Source organism: Homo sapiens, chromosome 2 (genome assembly GCF_000001405.40).
Source record: "Homo sapiens chromosome 2, GRCh38.p14 Primary Assembly".
Classification (NCBI taxonomy): Eukaryota; Metazoa; Chordata; class Mammalia; order Primates; family Hominidae; genus Homo; species Homo sapiens.
Genome location: NC_000002.12, coordinates 204,648,963 through 204,668,782, shown reverse-complemented (window position 1 = coordinate 204,668,782; position 19,820 = coordinate 204,648,963). Strand labels below are relative to the sequence as shown.

At 38.4% G+C, this 19,820-nt stretch overlaps 1 protein-coding gene across 12 annotated transcripts in view, besides 1 other annotated feature; it reads right to left on the bottom strand.

The window, feature by feature from the left end:
- PARD3B (par-3 family cell polarity regulator beta) overlaps positions 1-19,820 on the bottom strand; it is a 1,074,688-nt gene that overhangs the window by 951,380 nt on the left and 103,488 nt on the right. Inside the window, exons 1-4 of one of the 12 annotated variants that reach the window (XM_011510552.3) lie at positions 6,823-7,037; positions 6,165-6,230; positions 5,134-5,299; positions 181-405 (exon numbers count right to left, since the gene is read on the bottom strand). The exons of 4 other annotated variants lie outside the window; for them this stretch is intronic. In XM_011510552.3, the coding sequence (XP_011508854.1) occupies positions 181-324 (144 nt within the window). In that variant the 5' untranslated portion in view covers positions 325-405; positions 5,134-5,299; positions 6,165-6,230; positions 6,823-7,037. Of the gene's footprint in view, positions 1-180; positions 5,300-6,164; positions 6,231-6,822; positions 7,039-19,820 lie in introns of those variants that run through there. 7 more of the 12 variants (XM_047443208.1, XM_017003285.2, XM_017003288.2 and 4 more) reach the window with 7 other exon arrangements.
- Positions 3,488-4,055: an enhancer, noted in NCBI's record as "NANOG-H3K27ac hESC enhancer chr2:205529451-205530018 (GRCh37/hg19 assembly coordinates)". NCBI's record gives its function as "activates a minimal SCP1, AML or CMV promoter by ChIP-STARR-seq in primed H9 embryonic stem cells {active_cell/tissue: H9 hESC(primed)}" and the evidence as "EXISTENCE:reporter gene assay evidence [ECO:0000049][PMID:30033119]".

Below are 19,820 nucleotides of genomic sequence, written 5' to 3'. Positions count from 1 at the left end.
TCATGTAACATCACATATACAAATGTTCTAGGGACTAGGAAGTAGACATCTTTCAGATGGTGTTACTCTGCCAACCATAAGGACGGAATGTATTGTCTTTTTTATGAAAAAGGTGTCTTAACAGCACTAAGAATATTCCGAATTAAATGTAAATAAAAGTCAGTGTGCTAGAAGACTTACCTCAGAGATGTATTTGGAATGAAAAGGGTTACAAATTAAGCTGATGACGTAACTAAAAAACATATCTTCGGAAACTTTTAGTGTTAATTTAGAAGTCCAATCTTCAGGAAACGTTGAGTCAAATTCAACTTCTGGGCCTGACATTCTGGAGAATCTTACTCAAGGAAAGCATTAGTTTTTAAACAGTCCATGAGACAACAGAGGTATGAAACAGAGATGGAAAATCTAGAATTGAAATGAAACGTAAACTAACTGAGTCAATAAGAATTCAAAGTGAGCCAAACACATATTTCAATAATAACTTCTAATCTAAAGCACAGAAGCGCTAATCAATCAGAACAGATGCCAGCTGGGTAAGGCCATTCAAGTGTCACCAGCTGACTGCATCAGTCCATCCATTGACCTTTAGAGCTATGCTCACCATGGGGAAAATATTTCCAGACCAACTCTCTCCTCTCTCTCCTGCTTATTCAGTCCTTTCAGATTGGGGAAATGATTAGAATGCCTCCACAGTAAATAAGACTTCATAGACTTGAAAGAAGGCTTTTCATTTATTTACACCTCCTTCCACAACAGAAATGTAGGTTTATTATCAAATGATCCCCTGCTTTCTTCTGTCCATACAAGAATCACCAATGTTTTAACTCTCTTTATATATACACCTCGTTAGGCATACTTTTTCTTATTTGTCTTTGAAATCTTCACAAGTCTTTCACATGCTAAAAGGCAGAGTCCAAAAATTTATATGGCTTGTTAACAAACCCTGATTTAAACCAAACTGTTATTTAGTGTGACTACATGAAAGGCACAGCATAAGGCATAGTGGGAATATAAAGATTCTATGAAAGCGCTGCCTTTTCTCACTATGTGTGACTGCCTTTTTCACTATTTGTGACTCCCCCATGGAAGGCAGAGGCTCTCACACACACAAGCACACACATTCACATGCACACAAAAAATTAGACTAGAAGAGAGTCCATTATAAGATCTGTAACAAAGAAGAAAGCATGAGTGACAGAATGGGAAGGTGGAAAATGTGAGTCAAGTTCAGTATTTGCCTTAATTGAATGTGAGATGCCTCCAAGTGATCCAGGTAAAGAAGTCTAACAGGCAGCTAAAAATCTGGGACTGGAACTCAGAAGAGAGGTCAGACCTAGGACATACACATTGGTAAGTTATATGCATGGAGGTAATATTCAGAGTCAAGGAAAACACATGATATCTGAGGAATTTGAGGTAAAAAAAAATATTTAAGGTAAAAAAATTGAGTTTAAAAAAAACAAATATTTGAGCATTTGCCAACATCATGTATTGGGTGATTTCTATGCAGAGGCACTGAGCTTGCTGCAGTTACAGTAATGAACAAGGGAACACAGCCCCTGCTTTTATGAAGATTCCAGCCTAGTGAACTCTAATCAAAGAGAAATATCCCCAGTAATTTTAAGACCACTCCTAAGTAATTTTTATAACACCCATGATTAAGTCTTTCTGCCATTCTCTTGCCTTACCATGGCCTACTCAGCATTTCCTCATCCTCTCTCCCAGATGGGTATCCGGACATAAGCTGTCTCCCTTATATTCACACCATTCAATGCATATGTCCAGTTCTCAGTTTCCTTTGTCAATCAGCATCTTCTGCTCAGCCTTTACATCCAAATCCCTCAATGTTCACTCAGTCCTAGATACATGACTCTACTTTTCCATATCTCTGTTTTCTCTCCAGTAAGCTCATCTACCGCTAGGACTTTAACCTGGATGGCTCCCAAACACATTTCTACCATGACTTATTACTGAGGGCTCCAACCTTACATCTCAACATAGATGCCTAAACCTACATGCCCAAAACTGAGTGCATGGCATTCTACACCTTAGGTGTTTTTTTTTCATAGCAAATGGTGATAGTTTCCCACTTGTGTGAGCCAAAATTCTAGGATTCATCTATACCCCTCTCTATAACCCCCCTTATGATATCCATCGACAAATTCTATTGACTTTATCTTCTAAATCTATCTCAAGCTGTTCACTTCCCTTCACTCTTACAACTACTCTCTGGGCCAAGTTAACCATCATCTCTTGCTCTCACTACAGCAATAGCCACCTATTGGTTTCTCTACATCGACTCACTTTTCTCCAAATATTCCATGCCCTTCCTATAGTGACATATTTGGAGTCCTACTACTGCTTTAATCCAAAAAGCCCTTCTCCTTTGCTGAAATTACCTTTTATTTTTCCCTCTCTAGTTTAATATTAGAGAGTATCTCTCTAGGTCCAACCTTCATGACTCTTCATCTCACATATGAATCCTTCCTCAGTTCTCCAATTAGAATTAATTTATTATTCCATCGCACCCACCATTACCTTGTTCACATTTTGATTACATCTATTATTTCATTTTGCCTCTATGATTAGTTGCTTATTTGTTTCTTTCTCAAGAGCAGGGGCAATGTCTTCATCAACTTAAAATGCTTTACTCCCCCACTTGAGAGCCCAATCCATCATTATAAAGATTGCCTGGGCTCCACAGGCAGTCAAGTCCATTACTACTGGTGACTGCTGCATGGAAAAGATCATCATATTCAGACAAAGAATGGTTAGTACCAGAGTAAGTTCAAGAAGGAAAATTCATACCAGTAGGCATCAGGCAAACTCATTCATCATTCCATAAATAGTTACTGAACAGCTTTATACTCTGTGAGAGGACAATGTCACAGTCACAAACTCTTTAAAGTTTGCTATATCACATATACAGCCCAAGATATTCCTTGGAGCCCTCTAAAACTTGGTAAGAAGTACGCTAATCGATGCCTATGTTAGATCTCATTTATCCCACTAATTTCTAGTTTCTTGCAACCACAGCTTTCTTGTGAGAATACTTATAAAAATTACCAGTTAGAGGTCACAGACTGTGTCATCAAAAAGGGCCTTTCTTCTAATTACTTCATTTTACAGATGAGGAAATTGAGACCCAGATTTTACACACTCCCTGAGGTCACAAAATTGGCCAATGGCACAGCCAAGATCATAGCATGATTTCCCTGAGTCTTGGTCTAGTGAGTTGGGACTCAATGATCTGTGTAAAACAGAAGGGATCATAGGCGTGGATAATTGGAATGGCTGGAATTTTTCATCCACTGGTTGAGGAATGTGACTCACTCCCTCTAAAATAAGAAAATCTGCCATTGGGAGTGGGACCACAGCCCTGAACCAGATGCCACAGAAGAGCCACACCAGGAAGAGCATCCTTGTTCCTCTGGCAGAGCCCTTCTAGTCCTTTTAACAGGAGCCAAACAGCTTGAGGGTGGGTCATTCCCAGGCAGAGACCCCACCTATAATATGGTCAAAAGATATAGCTTATTATTTGAGGCTATCTCAACACCTTTCACAACTATATGCATATATTTGAGTCATTTTCTAAACCCTAAAATGGGAATATCTTATATTTTCTAAAGATTTTGAAAAGCTGAGATGAAAGAACAAAGACAAAAAAAAAAACAAAAACAAGAAAATCATAGCCACAAACATGATTACCACACTGCAGTATTCTGAAGAGCCACTCCCCACCACATTCTTAACATTCCTAAATCAGTACAAACATTTTCTCTACAGTCTTCATGAGAGCAACGGATTTGCTAAAACTGAACCTAGAAAATATTTACATATGCCAAAGTTCCTATTAAATGCTAGGCTTTTAAACTAATGCCCAACAAACATGGTAAAGAATGAGATGAAAGAAAAGGAGAGAGTGAGAAGACACTGATTATACCTCAAACTGTTTCAGGCTACCTCATCCTGTATGCATTCACTAATGAGCTCAGAAGAAAAATTCTGACTATTTCTGCTCTCTGACATTCACATAGCTTACAGAAAACTATTATCAGGAAATATAGCCAAAGAAATAAGCCCTGCTAATGAGTCCAAATTCTCAAAAGCTATTTGCCTATAAGTTCTTCAGAATAGATTTTACCAGAGCCAAAATGTGCTTAAAAGGAAATTTCCTTAAAACCCAGGATCCATTTTTAAGTGTGTGTAAATAAAAATATCCTTTTTATACAATGCAATGTCACTTACTATCATGTCAAACTGGAAAAAAAAATCAGCATTCAATATAGCAGACCAATGATCAAAACGTAACTAACTTTCAGGGAGGGTGGTAAGCATTTAGTTATGCCCCGTCTGGCAAAAATTTTATTTGCTTTATGTTACTTGCAGGCCACAACTTCTCCAGCTCATCTGGTGCATGCAAACACAACAGACACTCCCAGATGAAAATAATATATGGTTTCTCCATTACTTGAAAAACAAAAAAGACTAGTATCTGAGAGCAAGCAATTGATGCTCTATTCCATATTCAATCTTATCACCCCAAATATTTTCTGCCTTGTCATCTATTTTTGAGATTTGAGTTAAGAATGAAGGTTCTCAGAATAAAACCTATCCACTGGCATTACTACCCAACATATATGTAAGCTATTAGACAGTCATGGGGTTAGAACATATCCAAGCCACAGTATTAGCCTCAGGTCATAAATCAAATAAAAATCCCACCCAATTAAGGGCCCTATTCTTTGAACAATATGAGTTTACTGTCATGTTTGGATACTGAAAAGAGTTTTTGCAATCTGTTTCTCATCTGCTGTCCATTACTTGTACACTTAAAAAATGTGTTTTACAACTTCAGCGAATGCACACATGCCAAAAACACCACTTTTTAAAATCATGGGGGCATGAATTCACACTATAATAATGCAACCGTATATGACAGCTGAAATCAGATCTGTAAATGTCTAATTACCAAATTTATAAATTATGATTTTTAAAATAGTTATCTACTATGTCCACACAGTATGGTAGCTGCTATCTACAAAACGAGATTAATCTTCCCTACAACACTTACGGGTAAATATTAACACTCTCCTACAGACAAGAAAAATAAGGCTCAAAGAGGTAGCTCACCTCACAGAAGGTGAAAGAGCTGGTAAGAGGAGGAATCACACCTGGAGTTTGTAAGCCCAGGTCCAATGCCGCATTTCAAATACTTCACCTCCTATCCATCTACCTTCAATACGATCTTTATATTTTAAAATCCAAGCCAACTAATAAGTGTCATCATTTCCTTTATCTGGTAAAAATCAGTACAATAGGTATGAGTTTAGGTTCCAGAAGTGTTTTGACTTTAATACTCACATTTCCCAATATGATTGTAAGTTCAGCAAATACCTTTAAGCACTGACACTGCAACTAAGGGATGCGGGTGATATTCTCACTGTCATGGCACTAAAATTCAGTAGAAGGATGTGTCCATGCAGAGCTCAGGATACCTCATAGGGAACCTCAGGAAGCCGAGGCTAGCTCACATGAGAATGGCAGGGTGGGCAGCAATGGGCAAGACAGCAGGTACGAGCCAGCTGTGGCCCAACAAGTAGGGCCAGCCTGGGGAAAACAGTAACCATGGTTACAGCTTGGATTAAGCTCATGTCTACATGTTCGTCATGGCGAACTGGGATAAGGAATTACTAAAATGTGGCAAATGTAAAGATACCTATATGGTTAGTTTTGGTGTTTGGATAAGGGAGGAAAGGTAGCATAGCCCCACTTCTTGATGAAGTATAATGGGGTTACAGTATGAGAGTAAATCTGATAATGCAAACCAGGCATTTGGAAAATATGTAATAGAACAGCAGTTTTTAAAGTTGGTCCACAGACTCTTGGGGGTCTCAAGTCCAAAAGGTCAAAGCTATTTCCATAATAATTCTATCATGTTATTGGCCTTATTTACTGTGTTGCCATTTGGACTGATGGCGGGTCAAACTGCTGGTGTCTTAGCATGAATAATGGCAGAGGCACCCAACTATATGAATAGTCATTTTGTTTTTTACCACTACCCAGTACCAGTTCAAAACATAAACAACAGGCAGTTTCACTCAAGGTCTGTAACCAAGCAATAACAATTATAAATGTTATTAAACCTCAACCCTTGAACTTACGTATCTTTAATATTCTATGTGACAAAATAGGAAGTACACATGAAGCACTTCTGATGTATGATGGTTCTGCAAAGAAAAAGAACTTGTGTGATTATGTTGCAAGCTGAACCACCTGCTGTTTTCATGGAACACCATTTTTTTATTTGAATGAATGACTGAAAGGCAGATGATGGTTTTCCAGACTGGTTATTTGGCAAAGATTTTCTTGAAAATATATAAAGTAAGCCCATTACTTCAATGAAAACTCACTGTATCTGTTGCCAATAATAAAATTCCAGCTTTCAAAGGAAAATTAGAATTTTTGCCAACTTGTATTTGCCACCATGAGCTTGACAGCTTCCCAGTACTGAAGAACCTTTCTGATAAGATCAGTGGTAATATTAATAAATGCAATGATTTTGATAACAAATAATAAAATCTGTCACTATTTGGAAGATCTGCATAACTCAATCTATGAATATTTTCCAAGGGACAAATGTATGATGTTACAAAATCACGTGTGGATAACAGTTCCATTCAAAATGCAAGATAGACCAGTGTATTTTACAGTACAGAAAGTTCATTGATATTGTTTCATTTTCTCCCTTGTAAGAAATCCTTAAGAAACTACCATTTGTCAAGTTTTAGTACAGTATTAGAGAAGAATACCCAAAATTACCTGAAAAGAGTATTAAAATGATCCTTTCTTTTCCAGCTACATATTTGTATGAGGCCCAGTTTCTACATAAACCAAAATAGGCACAACAGATTGAATGCAGAAGGAGATATAAGAATCCAGCTGTCTTCCCTTAAATCAGACACTAAAGAAATCTGTGAAAATGTAAAACAATACTTTTTTCAGTAAAGATTTTTGTTCTTAGAAGATAGTTATTTTCTCATAAAAATATATTATTTCATCAACATGTAATGGGTTTATTTTTAAATAAATTTGTTAAATAATTTAGAATCCCTTAGTTATAATATCTAATCCAAAATATTGATAAATATAAGCCACATATACTTAAGCTCATTTGGGTTCTCAAGGAGTTAAGACAGCAAAGAGGTCCTGTGAACAAAAGTTTGAAAACCCCTATAGCAGAGTACTGTATTCCAGATGGAGATGAGGAAATGGTTCCTGAATATTGTGGCTCATTCTGCCTCTGGTCATGAGGTACTTGGTTTCAATATTAAATGTCTTGTTTAGATATTTTAAAGGGGAAAGTAAGTTGCATCTCGGGGACTCCAAGGCCTTCAACAGCAGCATCTTCTTGACACTTCTTCAGGTATTCTTATTCAGCAGGTGGGAAACACAAGCAAAGGGGAAGGGAAAAACCGTTAACACCAGCCTTGTGGATTCACACTAACATTTATTCACCTTTACTGTGAATGTCACTGGGTAATCTTCCTGGGGACATTCTTTTGGGTTTGAGATGGGGAAAGAGGAAGGGTTACTACCTGTTCCTAATTTAACAAAAAAGTATAATGGAAAAGAAACTGAGGAATTGAGTGCTTCAAAAATGTCCCTCAATCTATCAGTTGTTACTAGGAAGAATCACTGCTCACTACTAGGCCTGACTTAAAAGGAGGCCTGACTTGTAGGGCAAGTCACTGGCAGTGCTCCCTGGGGAAAGCATCAGTACTCAACTGCTCATCCAATACACAGGTATCCAGGCACTGCAATGAAAGAAAATTTGGGTTTAAACTCAACTTGGGAATTAATGGCTTCATTTTTGGCATAACTCACAAAGCCACACTGCATGTTCTATACATTAATACTTTAAAATTAAACTCATGTTAAGATCAACTAGATTTTCATAGCACCTTTCTTTAGGAATTAAAAACATCACACAATTGCTATTAGTAGCAATTAATGAGTTCTGTTCCTAAAAGGAAATGAAAAACAAAAAAATAATTTCACAGAGGGGGGATAAATCACCAAATAGGAAGAGTAGTAACTTCTTTAAAGGATCAAAATTTAGTATGGGAGTCACTTCAGAAATATACTTCTGTAACCTTTTGGAACCAAGATTAGTGCTTAACTAGATGTTGGCCTGGTCCACTAATGATTTATTATACATTATCTGAACTCCTTCCAGAGACAGTATTGACAGAACAGTATATTAGCAACTTTTTAAAAGATCATACATTTCTATGTCTTATATTTTCATAGGCCACCACACCCCGCAACTTAGCATATTCCCTGGCAAACTATAGGTACTCAATAAATAACTTCATTTGTTTTAAATGTTTAATAGCTGGGGCTGGAGTCGGGAGGACAATTTTCTTTAGGATACTTGGAAGTATCTGGTGGTTGCTTTTATAAAACATTGCAAAAAGCAGTTAGAAGGAGGTGGTTAATTGCAATAATAAACATGGTTGAAATGGAAACTATTGATTGAAGGAGAAAAACTTCAGAGCAAGGGACACAACAGAAGGGATGAAAATTTATAATTCAGAAGGTTCTATACTCAATAAACATTTGTGGAATAGCTTCTTCCCCAAGGGAAGCAGATGAAAAAGAAATACATTATCTGGAGGCCTCACTGAGAGCTATCAACCAGCACTTCACACCTCTGTTCGTCTTGCCTGGACATCTGAGGTTGAGGTGAATTATCTGTAGGGGTGTTTTCCTCTGAGGTCCCCATGTAGACTGAAAATAAGTTTGGCTCAAAGTCTTCCAATCTTAGAGAATGGCATTAATGCTAGAATTACTGTAAATAGTAATAGTTGCAACTTTATGTTTAGCATCAAAAGGAACCTTGGCTTTGACCTAGGTAGTTGTATCATAATTTTTGTAAATAGCATCCATTGTTTATAAAGACAGATTAATGTTATTTCAATGCTGCTGTTAAATAATGTATGAAAGTACTTAAGATGATGATAAAATGGTCTCAGATGTCACCATTCATGGATAGGGAAGCCTGGATCACAGTGCCAACCACATCCTGACATACAGAAGTGTTTTCTTTAGTTGCACAGTATGTTAAAGGTGGGAAATTCTGCATCAAAATCTGACTAGCTCCTCTTGGGATGATGTGGGGGAAACATGTAATCTTTCAAAAGTGGGCCTGCATTCCAGTGTAATGGTAATCAACTGGATCTGAGCCACGATGCTATATACACAACTCACACACTTGTGTACCCTCCACTTGGCCACCTATCACCATTCCTTCTTGCCTTCATTCAGCCCACCTCATTCAGGGAATTTGATTTCCCTGTCCAGCTCCATTGATGGTTGAGTTAGAAACCCCTAGCCTATCTAGCTGTGTCACACAAGAATATCTTGGCGCATCTCTCAATGGGGCCAGATACCTAAAATACAGGTTCAGAATACAGAAAGAAATTACTTCTTTGGGGCTATCACTGGAAGCCAAAGATGAACGTTAGGGAAAACAACACAATTGTTCAATTATGTCAAAATTACCAAGGTTCTTCCAACCTAGAAAACTAAAATCTCTGCTATTGATTACTCTTTAGGTCAAGAGTATCTGATAACATTCAGTACAGCAGTAACACATCTAAGAATGCAAATTGAGGAGTTAGCATTTTCTGAGATCAGCCTATCTAGACTGCTACTATAGCTAGGGAATGCTAAAACACCTGGAACAATGTGATAGCTGGCCTGGCTACTTACATTTTCAAGGACAAAGATATTTGCTGTATAGACCTCCAAAGAAATGGAACCGAGATAATGCATTTTAATATCTACATGAGCTTTTAAATGTCTGCAACGATGATGGGGATTGATTGGACACTTGACTATTTATTGGCATAGGTTATTATGAAAGAGTAAAAATACTCAGACACATTGGTAATAGCAGATTGTACCCTGGAAATAAAAGTTAGGACTTTTGTTGGATCTAGAGTAAAATTTTTATTAATATTAGAAGCTGACACAATAGAAATGAAGTTATTTGAGCTTTTCACATATTTTCTAGAAATCTAGCAATGAAAACAACATCTATATGGTAAATAACCTGTGTTAAGTCCTACAAGGTTTGGAAAAGAAAAAAAAAATAATTTGTTGAATGCCTGTTCTAGAGGTTATACACTTTTTGCCTTCGGTCATTCCTCAGCTTTGAGGTAACTGACAAAGTGAATGGTCACCAATTTTTGCAAGAGGCATATGTCTTGCATGATGGCTGCAAACAATGAAGACAATCTTTCCTAGGATCTTTAGTTCAGGCTACTTATTTACTAAGACCAAGAGACGTTTTTAACACTTAAGGGCAATAGTTAATAATCCTTTTGTATTTTTTTAAGCTGAAGAATCCAATAAGGTGAAAAGTTTATATCTATAAGAACACAGAAGAAAATGTATAAACCAACTCCATGCCTAGTACTCAATCCTAACTTACTATGTAAAGCAACTCACTCCACCTGTTCCCTTGGGCAATAGTTTGACTTGAAGGATCTAATAAGATAGATTTTTTTTTTAACTTTTAGTCTTCAAAGTGTCTTTGAATAAAGGTGAAAATATAAAATTCTAGCATATCCCAAATGCAAAATGGAAAATTAATGTCATCTAGCAATTAGAAAAATTATCTGCCATAGTAGAGCCTTTATAATAGCTGCACATTTGTCTTTCTTGACCTGATAGGCTTAGATCATGTCTAAGTCACAATCATCTCATTTACAGCTTCTAGCACAGGGCTTTGCAGCTAAGAGTGTCAGTAAATACTTGAACACCCATAAACTATAGAATATATGAAGATCAAATGTGTATACATATTACTAAAAAAGTTCTTACTTTTTTTAAGAATTAAGGAGTATTTTGAAAATCTCAAGTTTCACTTGCATGCAACCATGGTTTACTAAAGTACATCATTAAAATAATGTAATGGAGAAAAATTATGATCATACATACTATTTAAAATTAAGTAAAGAAGTATTTCAATTCATTTTGCTATTTGTTCTAAATATAATATTCAAATATTCATAGGTATGTGGATGATTGTGCTTTCATTTGTTTTATAGGATTACCTGAAAACGTATGGCTTGTATAAGCCAAGCTTTAAGAATAATTAAGCACACAGCCTTCATAAAGCTAAGAATTCAGTCCCAGTTCTCTTCATCTTGCCTTGGTTTCTCTAGCAGGAATTAAGATATGAATCAAAAAAAAAATTTTTTTTTTAGACAGGGTCTCACCTCTGTCATCCATGCTGGAGTGCAATGATGCAATCATAGCTCACTGCAGCCTCAACATCTTGGGCTCAAGTAATCCTTTGACCTCAGTCTCCCAAGTAGCTGGGACCACAGGTACACAACACCACACCCAGCTATGTTTTCTTTTGGTAGAGATGAGGTTTCACTATGTTACCTAGGTTGAGCTCAAAAATCCTCCTGCCTTGGCTTCCCAAAGTGCTGGGATTACAGGAGTGAGTCACTGTGCCCAGCTCACAATTCTTAATGTATGGTTAAGTATGAACAAGTGTGAGATGATAAAGAACACAGCTGGAGTAGTTTCCTCTCTTTCTCCTCCAGATCTTGCTATGTTCCTGTGAAGAGAAGAAAGTGATACGACAGTGGGATGGAATCTGTGCATCAAACAGTATGGCCTAGAACTCTTCAAAGTCTAATACAATCACTTGACCCAGGTCCCCAAGAAGCAGCAGTTCTAAAATTACAAATAAGACCAAGGCACTCACTCTGGGTATCCAGAGACATCATGATCTTACTCTTAATGGCTCAGATTGTGACTTCAGAACATTACAACTGTGCCTAGAACACAAAGGCACAGACAAAAGTGAAATAACACAGGAGCTGCTTCTATTCCAAATCATTTAAAGCTTATTAAAATCTCAACATGAGGACAAGGTGGTACATGAGGGTTTAGGCATTTGCTCTCACTATTTGCACAAGTCTTTCTGATGAGCCCACAGTGACAGATACTGTGAAAAAATATTTAGAATGTAGAAGGTAGGTCACATTAAGAAATAACACATGAAACATGCCTACCTTTCAAAAATGTAAAACTGGAAACATGGACAGTGCTTATGAAGAGTACCATGAAAAGAGGAGATCTGAGTTCATAGTAATAGTTCCACTTCTGTCAAGAATGTGATTTAAGGACTGGGTGGCTCTCAACATTTCTAGGTGTTTCTTAATTTATAAGGAATTGGCCTAAAATAGTCTCCTTACCCCTAAACTTTAAGACTGTAAACAGTGAAGTAGATTGGAAAATGACACTAAAACAAGTTATCATACCAGGAATAACTTTGGAATTAAGTTGCTCATACTGCCCATACATGTTTGTTTGTTTGTTTGTTTGTTTGTTTTCTATCATGTAAACCTTCCATATATCTGTATTCAATGCCTTCTACTGACTTTTCTACTTCAGGAAGTCTGATTATCAATTAAAGGTGCAATCGTAGATCGATTATAAAAAATGGTCCAAGTTATTTCCCACCATGTATCTACAGCCTTTGCCATGCAACTCTGCAGCACTTCTCATCAAAAGGTGAAGTCTATTTCCATTCCCTCTGAATGTTGGCTGGCTTTGTGATTTGCAGTGGCCAATAGAATGCTGCAGAAATAATAGTGTGCCAGTTCTGAGCCTAGATCTCAAAAAGCCTTGAGCACTTCTGCTTGCTTCTTAGAACATTTCCTTTGCTATGAGAAAAGGCCCAGACTAGCCTGCTGGAGAAGAAGCCACCAAAGATAAGTCTACTTAGCTGCATCTATTCTAAACCAGCCTACAACCTTCTCACCCCAAAATACCTGAAAGGGCCCAGACAAGATCAGCTGAGACAAATTTCCAGCCTGTGGCTAACCGTGGACAAATGAGTAAACACAGTCAAAACTGGAAGAATAGCACAGCTGACCCACGGACTTGCAGGCAACAATAAATGATTATCACTTAAGCTACTGGGTTTGTGGTTGTTATTCAGATATATATGCTGACCTCCTTTAATCCTCCACAACAGATTTAAACACATTTCTATGTCTCCATTGTACATGTTCACACAGCTAGCGCTTATCACATCATAGGACAACTAAACATAGTATGTCCTGGGTCATGATCTCCTCCAGGACCACTTCCCCAATTCCTAATACACTATAAACATGCTTAATACATGTTGAATAGTAATGAATGAAGTATAATTTCAGAAAACATTCTAAATTAGGGAAGGGCACTTAAAACTTTTGCAAGGTAGAATGACTTTGGCACTTGCGTAACAGCAGTGAGGAAAACGCATCCAGGAATGCAGGCAACAAATGGGGGCATCTTATATAGAACAGACAAGCAGAGTAAATCAGAGAGAAGCAAGATTCTGAGGAAGAGAAAGGAATGTAGCTACTATGTGGAAATTCAAGCAGGGATATTGGGATATTGCATAACTTTAGGGAGCAGTATCAGCTGACTGAAGCACTGAGCAATCTGTAGCCTTGAATGCAGGAGTGTTGCTTAAAAATGGACAGAGTTTTCCAAAAAGAGATACTTATTGGTAACTGGACAAGGAATTTAGCTATAGAACTAAGGGGAGAATCAACAGGAAGAGATGTGTACTTGCAGCCAATGAAATGATGACATGTCTCTAAAGTCATGAGCTTTCTCTTCTACTCTCAGATATCACCCAGTGTGTGCAACCAAGACTTAAAGCAACAAATCTAAGTATTTCTGGGGGAGACAAGTGTTGCTCCCTTGGAGCTGCTGTTCCACAGCAGTAGATTTCAAGATCCTCTTGTTTTAGGAGGTCTCAAAGAGTCCTGCTCTCAATGTACTGGATAGTCTGCTCGGTCCACCAGAGACTATGAAACATCTACTGTTTAAGAAAGTTTCTTTAGAGGATAAACTTGCCCCAACAAAAACCTGGGCACTGTGCCCAGAAATAAACAAAAAATAAAGAATTTATTCCTATTCAAGTGAGTATTATGCTTCAAAATAAAAACTCCAAAGGAAAAGAGCTTATCACCAATAATGAAGTTCCAGTTCCTGGTAAAACACTTCCCTCAAGAAGTCCCTCCAAAAATCTCAACTTCAGAGATACTTTTTAGAGACAGTTTCTCATTATCCATGTTCCAGTGAAAAACTAAAATCCACTATATGGATATAAAAAACACTGCCCTATCACTCATGGCATGAGAACTTCCTATCTGTAGAAAGACTATCTCCTCAAATCAGCTAAAATGGCAGAAAAACCCAACATCACCACATTCCATTTACTTCCCCAGCAGAGTTCTTCATTACCAGGTAACAGAGTTATCTGTGATGATACTCAAGAAAGCTCAGTGAGGAATACACGGGAATAGAAGCAACTATTCACCCATGATACTAGGAATAAATCCTCATGTTTATGGTTCCACATCAAAATTAGAAACTAACCCCTTTTATTCAAGAACCTGCATTAGGTTGTCACGATCCTTTCTTCGTTTCCCCCCTCAGCCTGGATAAATCATCTTGCCTTCCTTATATGAAAGGTATTAGATGAACACAGGCACACTCACCATAAGTTAACCAAGAAGTGGGGTCTCAGGCAAAAGCTCACCTTTCTAAGACTCTACATTTTGCAAGATTATCCTCACATCACCTCCTTGCTGAGACACAGATAAAGAGGACCACACAATAAGACGTGAAGATGCAGTAGCCAATGAAGACACACAAGAGGAATTTTTATTGCAGAAGTTTTTAAACTGGAGACTCTCATATGATTGCATGCAAAATTATTTATGTATATGCATGTTCATAAATGTACATTTGTATCTGGGGAAATAGTGTACGTTGTCATCAGACTCTCAAACTTTCCTCCCAAATTTAAGGACCAGTGCTTCATTAGGTTAAACTAATCTCAGACATCAGGTCCCCTTGAATGCTGAATGAATATTTCAACTTCTTTTTTTTTTTTTTTTTTTTGAGACAGAGTCTTGCTCCATCACCCAGACTGGAGTGGCATGATCTTGGCTCACTGCAACCTCCGCCTCCTGGGTTCAAGCAATTCTCCTGTCTCAGCCTCCCTAGTAGCTGGGACTACAGGCGCCCGCTACCATGCCTGGCTAATTTTTGTATTTTTAGTAGAGATGGGGTTTCACCTTGTTGGTCAGGCTGGTCTCAAACTCCTGACCTCAGGTGATCCACCCACCTCGGCCTCCCAAAGTGCTGGGATTACAGGCATGAGCCACTGTGCCTGGCCCTTTCAACATTTTTTTTAAGACTGACCTAAAGCTGCCATAGATCATGAGAGGTTATGCTAAGAGTCTGGATGCCACATATAGCAACACAGTGCTCTGACAGGTGTTTATCAAAAACACATTGTATTTACAAGTGAAAAGTTACTTTAACGTTTTAAAAGTATATCTAACAGAAGGGGTTACAATGACTTTCTTTTTTCCATAATAGCTAGGTTTTTTTTTTTTTAATTTTAACTTTTATTTTAGGTTCAGGGGTACAGGTGTACGTTTGTTATGTAGGTAAATTGGTGTCATTGGGGTTTCATTTACAGATTATTTCATCACCCAGGTACTAATCCTAGTACTCAATAGTTATTCTTTCTGATCCTCTCCTTCCTCCCAACCTCCACCTTCAAGAAGATCCCAGTGTCTGTTGTGTCCATGAGTTTTTTGTGTCCATGAGTTTTTGATATGGTTTGGCTCTGTGTCCCCATCCAAATCTCATCTTGAATTGTAATCCCCATGTGTCGGGAGAGGGGCCTGGTGGGAGGTGATTGAATAATGGGGGCAGACTTCCCCTGCTATTGTCATGATAGTGAGTGAGTTCTCAGGAGATCTGGTTGTTCGAAACTGTGTAGCACTTCCCCTTTCACTTGTACTCTCTCATGATCCACAATGGTAATATGTGCTTGCATCCCTGTCACCTTCCACCATGGTTGTAAGTTCCCTGAGTCCTCCCATTCATGCTTCCTTGTTAAGCCTGCAGAACTGTGAGTCAATTAAACCTCTTTTGCTCATAAATTACCCAGTCTCAGGTAGTTCTTTATAGCAGTGTAAAAATGGACTAATATAGAAAATTGGTATTAGTGGAGCACTGCTACAAAAATACCTAACAATGTGAAAGCAACTTTGGAACTTGGTAACAGGCAGAGGTTGGAACAGTTTGGAGGGCTCAGAAAGAGACAGGAAGATGTGGGAAAGTCTGGAACTTCCTAGATACTTGTTGAATGGTTTTGACCAAAATGCTGCTAGTGATATGGACAATGAAGTCCAGGCTGAGGTGGTCTGAACTGGGGTAATGGTCACCCTTGCTATGCTTTAGTGAAGAGATTGGTGATGTTTTGCCCCTGCCCTAGAAACTTTGAACTTGAGAGAGATGATTGAGGATATCTGGTGGAAGAAATTTCTAAGCAGCAAAGCATTTACAATGTGACCTGGCTGCTCCTAATGCATACAGTCGTGTGCATTCACAAAGAGATGGCCTGAAACTGTAACTTATGTTTAAAAAGGAAGCAGAGCAAGAAGTTCGGAAAATTTGCGCCTGGCCATGTGGGAGAAAAGAAAAACTGATTTTCGGGGGTGGGGGTGATTCAAAGCTGCAGAAATTTGCATAAGTAAAGAAGAGCCTAATGTTAATAGCCAAGACAATGGGGAAAATGTCTCCAGAGCATTTCAGAGATCTTCACAGCAGCCCCTCCCATCACAGGTCCTGAGGCCTAGGAGGGAAAGATGATTTCATGGGCCAGGTCCAGGGCCTAGATGTTCTGTGCTGCCTTGGGACATGGTGCCCCACATCCCAGCCACTCCAGTTCCAGCCATGGCTGCGAGGCCAAGGTACAGCTTGGGCCATAGCTTCAGAGGGTGCAAGCCCCAAGCCTTAACAGCTTCCACATGGTGTTTGGCCTGTGGGTGTGCAGAGGGCAAAAGGTGAGCTTTGGGAGCCTCTGCCTAGATTTCAGATAATGTAAGGAAATGCCTGGATGTTAAGGCAGAAGTCTGCTGCAGGGACAGAAACCTCATGGAGAATCTCTACTGGGGTAGTGTGGGGAAGAAATGTAGGATTGGAGCCCCCATACACAGTCCCCACTGGGGCACTGCATAGTGGAGCTATGAGAAAAGGGCCACCATCCTCCACACCCCAGAATGACAGATCCACTGACAGCTTATACCATGTGTCTAGGAAAGTCACAGACACTCAACACAAGCCCATGAAAGCAGCAAAAGGGGCTGTATCCTGCAGAGCCACAGGGGCAGAGCTGCCCAAGGCCATGGGAACTCACCTCTTGCACCAGTGTGCCCTGGATGTGAGACACAGAGTTAACGGAGATTATTTTGGAGCTTTAAGATATAATGAGTGCCCTGCTGGGTTTTGGACTTGCATGGGGCCAACAGCCCCTTTCTTTGGGTCAATTTCTCCCATTTGGAATGGGAGCATCTACCCAATGCCTGTACCCCCATTGTATTGGAAGTAACTAACTTAACTTGCTTTTGATTTTACAGGCTTATAGATGGAAGGGACTTGTCTTGTCTCTGATGAGACTTTGGACTTGGGCTTTTGGGTTAATGCTAGAATGAGTTAAGACTTTGGGGGACTATTGGGAAGGCATGATTGTGTTTTGAAATGTGAGAAGGACATGAGATTTGGCAGGGGTCAGCGGCAGAATAATATGGTTTGGCTCTGGGTCCTCACCCAAATCTCATCTCAAATTGTAATCCCATGTCAGGGGAGAGACCTGGTGGGAGGTGACTGAATCATAGAGGTGGACTTCCCACTTGCTGTTCTCATGATAGTGTGTGAGTTATCCTGAGATCTGGTTGTCTGAAAGTGTGTGGCACTTCCTCCTTCTCTCTCTCTCTCTCTCTCACTCCCCCATGGTAAGATATGCTTGCCTTCCCTTCATTTTCCACCATGATCATAAGAGTCCTGAGGCCTCCCAGGCATGCTTCCTGTTAAGAATGCAGAACAGTGAGTCAACTAAACCTCTTTTCTTCATCAATTACCCAATCTCAGGTAGTTCTTCATAGCAATGTGAAAATGGACTGATACAGTTGTCATCATTTAGCTCCCACTTACAAGTGAGAACATGCAGTATTTGGTTTTCTGTTCCTGTGTTAGTTTGCTAAGGAAAATGGCCTCCTACTCCATCCATGTTCCTAAAAAGAACATGATCTCATTTCTTTTTATGGCTGCATAATATTCCATGATGTATATGTACCACATTTTCTTTATCCAGTCTATTATTGATGGGCATTTAGGTTGATTCCATGTCTTTGCTGTTGTGAATAGTGCTGCAATGAACATTTGCATGCATGGGTCTTTATGGCAGAATGATTTATATTCCTTTAGGTGTACACCCAGTAATGAGATTGCTGGGTTGAATGGTCATTCTGTTTTTAACTCTTTGAGGAATTGCCACACTGTCTTCCACAATGGTTGAACCAGTTTACAGTCCCACCAATAATGTGTAAGTGTTCCCTTTTTTCCACAACCTCACTAGCATCTTATTTTTGGCTTTTTAATAATAGCCATTTGGATGGGTTTGAGGTGGTATCTCATTGTGGTTTTGTTCTGCATTTTTCTATTGATCAGTGATATTGAGCTTTAATATGCTTGTTTGCTGCATGTATATCTTCTTTTGAAAAGTGTCTGTTCATGTCCTTTGTCCACTTTTTAATGGGTTTTTTTTCTTGTAAATTTAAGTTCCTTATATATACTGGATATTAGCCCTTTGTCAGATGCATAGTTTTCAAATATTTTCTCCTGTTCAGTAGGTTATCTGTTTACTCTGTTGATAGTTTCTTTTGCTGTGCAGAAGCTTTTAAGTTTAATTAGATCTCACTTGTCAATTTTTGCTTTAATCGGAATTGCCTCCGGCATCTCCAAGATGAACTCTTTGCCCATTCCTAAGTCCAGAGCAGTATTGCCTAGGTTGTCTTCCAGCTTTTTATAGTTTTGGATTTTACATTTAAGTCTTTAATCCATCTTGAGTTAATTTTTGTATATGGTTTAAGGAAGGTGTCCAATTTCAATTTTCTGCATATGGCTAGCCAGTTATCCAAGCAGCATTTATTGAATAGGGAGTTTTTTCCCCATTGCTTGTTTTTGTCAGCTTTGTCAAAGATCACATAATTGTAGGTGTGCAGCCCTATTTCTGGGCTCTCTATTCTGTTCCATTTTTTTGTGTGTCTGGGTGGTGGTGGTGGTGTTGTTTACCAGTACCATGCATAATAATGATGTTTCTTTCTCATCTTTCCAAACACACCCACATACAGAGTAAAAATGTAAGGAAACTCCTTTGTGGGGATGGGTGGTTTAGAACTCATGCATACAAAACAGGGAAGAAAGTAGACACACACATCCAATGACACTATCATTAAAACAATTTTCAATTTCTCCTTGGAAAACAGTGTGACAAAAGGTTAGTACTCAAAATACATAAAAAATAGACTCTTAAAACTCAATAATATGACAAATAAACCAAAAAACACAATGGACAAAAGATACAAGCACACACTTTAAATAACATGTTCAACATCACTTGACAACACAAGTGTTGGCAAGGATGTGGACCAACCAGAATGCCCATACATTGCTGGTGGGAATATGAAATGGTGCAAGAACTGTAGACAATGATTTAAAATTGTCTTATTTTAAAGCTTTATATATTATTTATATGATATATATTATAAATATATATTATTTATATGATATATATTATAAATATATATTATTTATATGATATCTATTATAAATATATATTATTTATATGATATCTATTATAAATATAT